Source organism: Homo sapiens, chromosome 6 (genome assembly GCF_000001405.40).
Source record: "Homo sapiens chromosome 6, GRCh38.p14 Primary Assembly".
In the NCBI taxonomy this organism is placed as follows: Eukaryota; Metazoa; Chordata; class Mammalia; order Primates; family Hominidae; genus Homo; species Homo sapiens.
This window is the reverse complement of record NC_000006.12, coordinates 73,362,607-73,368,554: the sequence shown is the minus strand read 5'-3', so window position 1 is coordinate 73,368,554 and position 5,948 is coordinate 73,362,607. Positions and strand designations below refer to the sequence as shown.

Genomic DNA, 5,948 nt, shown 5'->3' with positions numbered 1-5,948 from the left:
GATTGACTCCCACTCATGTTTTGATATGAAGGGTGGGCAGGTGATAGTTTTGTAGGTTTTTGTTTTTGTTTTTTTTTCCTGAATTCCCATCATTTTGAAACTCCTAATCCTTTTATGATTTTCTGGTCAGAGAGAGGCCCTCACCCACAGGGAGCGGATATGCAGGGGCAGATAACCTCACAAATGGTGATCTGTTTTGTTTTTACATAATTGGTCCTCAAACTTTAAAGCTTGTAAGAAATCACCTTGGGAGCTTGTTAAAACACAATTTCCTTGGCTCCTTCTCCAGAGAATTCTGATTCAGTACTTTTGGGGTGGGGCTTAAAATTTCATTTCTGATGAGCTCACACATACTACTAAAGCAGCTTATCTGAGGCTCTCACTTTGAAGCTGGTAATTGATCCCCCGAAGAGCACCAGCTGTGCGTTTTCCTGGAGTGGGGCATCCATTGGGCAGAGGATGACGTTGCAAGAAGCAAGCCTGGGCGGTCAGCGTTCATTAATGGTAGTTTTCGATTTACCACGGAAGAGCAGGGTTCCCAGGCACCTTGGCTCGTGGATGGCGCCCTGCCTTGGAGCCGGCTGTCTACCTTTTTCTACAAGGCGAGGCTGCACGGGTGTCCGGCATGGGCCAGGTTGTTTTTCCACTACGTGTTGTACTGAAATTACCAATCTCTGCAAAACAGCTCCTATCCTTGCCGCCCCACTTTCTGGAAGTAGAATTTTTGGGGCGAAAGGTGCCAAAAGCCCTGTGGGTTCAAGCACAGTTTGGATTGGTTTGACTCATGGAATTTATTCACTCCTTGGCAATAAAGTATTCTAGCCTTTTGCAAGCGTTTTAAACTCACAAGTCTCTTTAATTGTGCTTTTTTGATTAGAGGTGATGTTGAATATTTTCTTTGTTTCAGTTTTACATTTTTCTTTATTCATTCCTTTTTTTTTTTTTTTTTTTTTTTGAGATGGAGTCGCTCTGTCCCCCAGGCTGGGGTGCAGTGGCGCAATCTCGGCTCACTGTACGCTCCGCCTCCCAGGTTCACCCCATTCTCCTGCCTCAGCCTCCCGAGTAGCTGGGACTGCAGGCGCCCGCCACCATGCCCGGCTAATTTTTTTTTTGTATTTTAGTAGAGACGGGGTTTCATTGTGTTAGCCAGGATGGTCTCCATCTCCTGACCTCGTGATCCGTCCACCTCAGCCTCCCAAAGTGCTGGGATTACAGGCGTGAGCCACCGTGCCCAGCTTTCCTGGTGAGATTTTTATTGTTTATTTTTATTTATTTTTGAGATGGAGTCTCGCTCTGTTACCCAGGCTGGAGTGCAGTGGTGTGATCTCGGCTCACTACAACCTCCGCCTCCCGTATTCAAGCAATTCTTCTGCCTCAGCCTCCCAAGTATCTGGGATTACTGGCATGTGCCAACACACCTGGCTAATTTTCGTATTTTTAGTAGAGACGGGATTTCACTATGTTGCAAGGGTGGTCTCAAACTCCTGACCTCAGGTGATTCTCCTGCCTTGGCCTCCCAAAGTGGTGGGATTAGAGGCGTGAGCCACTGCACCTGGCCCTGGTGGGATTTTTATTTTTATTTATTTATTTTATTTTATTTTTTGAGACAGAGTCTCGCTTTGTCACCCAGGCTGGAGTGCAGTTGCACGATCTTGGCTTACTGCAACCTCCGTCTCCCAGGTTCAAACGATTCTCTTGCCTCAGCCTCCTGAGTAGCTGGGATTACAGGTGCGTGCCACCACGCCCAGCTAATTTTTTGTATTTTTAGTAGAGATGGGGTTTCACCATGTTAGCCAGGATGGTCTCGGTTTCCTGACCTCGTGATCCACCTGCCTCAGCCTCCCAAAGTGCTGGTATTACAGGCGTGAGCCACCGTGCCTGACCCCTGGTGGAATTTTTATAAAACCATTGAACATTTTGGGTTTTTGTTGAGACAGTCTCACTCTGTCACCCAGGCTGGAGTGCAATGGTGCAATCTCGGCTCACCGAAACCTCTGCCTCCCGGGTTCAAGCGATTCTCTTGCCTCAGCCTCCCGAGTAGCTGGGATTACAGGCACCTGCCACCATGCCTGGCTAATTTTTGTATTTTTAGTAGAGAATGGCCATTCTGGTCTCGAACTCGTGCCCTCAACTGATCCACCTGCCTTGGCCTTCCAAAGTGGTGGGATTACAGGCATAAGCCACTGCACCTGGCCCATTAAATATTTTGTTATTGGGGAAAAAGGGGTAAGCTTAAAACTTATTCTAATTTTTCCAAAAATACTGTATGATCCTAAACTCCTTCCATCCTTTGTACACATTAACATATATTGAAGTCCTAATCCCCAGTACCTCAGAATATGACTATATTTGGGCAATATTTGAAATCTTTGACTCTCAAGACTCTTGGCATAGGGCAACCTCTCCTGTTCCTCCATGCTGGGCAGCTGGCTTGGCTTGATGGCATCTATAATTCCAGCATGATATAGAGTTTCCATTTACTGGGTGTTTAGAGAAAGAAGCAGCCATATGAATAGGTGAAACTTAAAGTGTCAGTTCCGGGAAAGATGTTCATAGATATTTTGGATATGAGTTGAAAAGGTTGTGAGGGCCGGACATGGTGGCTCAGGCCTGTATTCCCAGCACTTTGGGAGGCTGAGACAGGTGTTGACCAGCCTGGCCAACATAGTGAAACCCAGTCTCTACTACAAATAAAAAAAATCAGCCAGGTGTGGTGGTGGGCGCCTGTAATTCCAGCTGCTCGGGAGGCTGAGGCAGGAGAATTGCTTAAACCCAGGAGGTGGAGGTTGCAGTGGAATGCCGTTGCATTCCAGCCTGGGTGACAGAGTGAGACTCCATCTCAAAAAAAAAAAAAAAAAAAAAAGAGTAGACTTGCCCTCTTAAATATTAAAACAGTCTATAAAGCTACTTAATTAAAATGGGGGTAGATATCAGAAAAAGTAGAAAAGTTACACATGAACATAAAATAGATTGGTAACACTGAGTTTGGGCAAGGACAGTGAAAACAGCTTGTAAAGGAGAGAACCTGACATTCTGGTAAGGTGGGTATTACACAGAGAAAGACAACATACACATTAAGTTTTAGCTCTGCTCTGATGTAGCCTCATTTGAAACTGATTTTGTGTTGATTTTGAATTTAAAGTGTTCTAAAGTTCTTCTAAAATTAGTCAACTATTTTAATAAAATGATTAGCGGTTAAAAGTTGCTAATAAGTTATTGTAAATTCAGCTTTATGTGGTAATTCCCTTATTGTAAGATACATGATTATTTTAAACTGGAGTGATAATTAGCGGTGACAAAAAGAGTCTGATAGACATTCACCTTATATTTAAAGTTAGCTTTGAACTTTTAAAAATTACTAGTGATTGGCCGGGCGTGGTGGCTCATGCCTGTAATCCCAGCACTTTCGGAGACCCAGGCGGGTGGATCACCTGAAGTCAGATCAGCCTGGCCAACATAGTGAAGCCCCTTCTCTACTAAAAACACAAAAATTAGCTGGGCGTGGTGGCGCGGGCCTGTAGTCCCAGCTACTCGGGAGGCTGAGGCAGGAGAATCGTTTGAACCCAGGAGGCAGAGGTTGTGTTGAGGCGAGATCGAGCCGTTGCACTCCAGCCTGGGCCACAGAGAGAGATTCTGTCTCCAAAATAAAATGAAGATTACCAGTGATTCTTGGTTGGTTAAAAAAAAAAAAAAAAAAAAAAAAAATCCTAATTATAGAATTACTGCGTGCTATTGTTTAATCCTAGCACCCAGCTGTTGGCTTGCATCCTTCTAGATTAATTCGCAGGCTCAGGGACCTGCATCCCAGCGCCCTGACCAAAGCTGTGACCCTAGGGAAGCCAAAGTGTTCTCTGCTGGGGCTTCTCGCTGCCATAGTAACTGAGGAAAGAGTAGCCGATGCCTGTATCTTGCTGGTGTCCACGACCTTCGTGGAAGGTGGGTGACCCAAGCAAGACCTGAAGACTGCAACAGTGCAGCCCAAGAGTGCAGCTCGGGTCTCTTCGTTTCCCCCTTCCCCGATGTCATTTTCCCCAGCTGAGAAAGTGTTCTGTGACAGAGTAGCAATACACCCAGGGCCTTCCAAATCCAGCTGGCCCCCAAGCGACCCAGTTTTCTCATCCCAAGTCACCTTGAGTAGAACGACAGCGGGCTTGGAGAGATTTCCTAGTGGGCCAGAGAGGCTTCTCACCTGTTAAAGCCAGATGCGCGCGGTTAAGGAGTACAAGGGGCACACCGGACCACAGCCGGGGAAGATGGCCACCTCGGGCGGCTAGGAACCACAGGCCCCACCTGCCTCGAGGTAGAGGGCTGCGCAGGGCAGAACTGGGCTGTTGGAGGAATGCGCCTTTCCCTCCCCTCTACCTTCCAAAATACAGACGTTAGGGAAATGCAATTATTTATTAGAACTCAAGTTTGTGTTGGCAACCATTCAACAGAAGGTGTAAAACAAAAACAATCCACATCATCCTTCCTCGCCACCCCAGCTTCCTGGACTTAAGTGAGGCGGGGGGGAGGCGGGGGGCGGGCTTCCACTTTGCAATTCTTTATTAGAACTCAAGTTTGTGTTTGCAACCATGCAACAGAAAGGGTAAAACAAAAAATCCACATCCTCTCCCCAACCCCAGCTTCTGGGCGGAAATACGGGCTTTCACTTTAACCCCTGACTGGCTCTGGCTCCAGGGCCTGAGATGCCTTCATAATCTAGTAACTGGGTCCCGGGCATCCTCGCGAAACCGCTGGGTCACTGCCTTGCTGGCAGCTTCGGGGGATCGCTGGGTCCCCGACTTGTTGGCAGCCTGGAGAGACTGCTGGGTCCCGGCCTCCTGCACCTCCACCGGAGAACCCTGTGTCCCGACCTCCTGGACTTCCACCGAACGCTGGGTCCCGGCCTCCCGGACCTCCACCGAACGCTGCGTCCCGGCCTCCCGGACTTCTATTGAAGACCGCTGGGTCTCGGCCTTCTGAGTGGCGACATCCTGGGCGAGGGCCTTTCCTGAGCCTGGAAGAAGAGCAGTGTGCAGAGGCCACAGCTGTGTCTCTATATCCTCTCCAAAAAAGGACAGTCACCCAAGCGGCCTGCGGGAGTAGGAGCCAGAAATCCCAGAACGAGGGTTCAATTTGGCCTTCTGGATCCGTGGCAGCGAGAACCGCCCCCTCCCCCACCCACCAACCGCAGGCCGACTGGGAGGGCGAGACTGCCGCCCCAGCAGCCAGGAAACCCCAGGATCACTCCTACGGAGCCAGGGTTTGCTCCAGGTAGCCCTATTCCCAGCCCCGTACCTTTCGCCTGGAGCTGGCGGTGATAGTCAGCCAGGTTCATGATCATCTTGATTGTGTCCTCCTGGTAAGAAGGCCTCCCAAATACCAAGATCTCAGCCTCGCCGTTAGGGTCCAATCGATTCACGTGAATCAAGATTTGGGACATACCCTGGACGTGCGGGATGCGTTCTCCGCCCCGGCCTGCGCGGGTAGCAGAGAGGCTGTGAGGGACCGGTGGCTCCCGGGGGTCTTGGGAGGGGAAGGTGGAAGGAGGAGACAGCCAGAGGGCATTGGCTACTGGTGAGGATCGCCCTGGAACGCAGCCAGAATATGTGGGCTGTGGGTATGGGTGGCAGAAAGAAGCCGCATGGGGGCTGCCCCTTCTTGGTCCACTCACCGAAGATCTTTTCCACCAGCCAAACCTCAAGGCGAACTACCTTCGGATTCTTCAGGAACTCAGAGTGGAACCAGGAGAACCGCTTAGGGAGGTGACCGAGCACCTCCACTGGCATTGCTTTTGGCTGCATCAGTTGCACGAGCGTCGGAAACCGCCTGGGAGCGTCCATGCTGCGGCCGGTCCTGCAGGAGACAAGGACACCACAGCAAACCCAAAGGCCGAGCTGGAGCTGGGAGACTAGAACCGCGGTTCTGCCTGGGCCTTATTTCAAGGGCTTTTGGCCAGCCCCTCC

The 5,948-nt window shown here is 49.7% G+C and overlaps 1 protein-coding gene across 1 annotated transcript; it reads right to left on the bottom strand.

The window, feature by feature from the left end:
• KHDC3L (KH domain containing 3 like, subcortical maternal complex member) lies at nucleotides 4,384-5,897 on the bottom strand. Its single transcript, NM_001017361.3, has 3 exons — nucleotides 5,657-5,897; nucleotides 5,281-5,460; nucleotides 4,384-4,999 (listed from the first exon to the last, which is right to left on the bottom strand). The coding sequence occupies exons 1-3, from the start codon at nucleotides 5,823-5,825 to the stop codon at nucleotides 4,695-4,697; spliced, it is 654 nt and encodes a 217-aa protein (NP_001017361.1). The 5' UTR covers nucleotides 5,826-5,897; the 3' UTR covers nucleotides 4,384-4,694.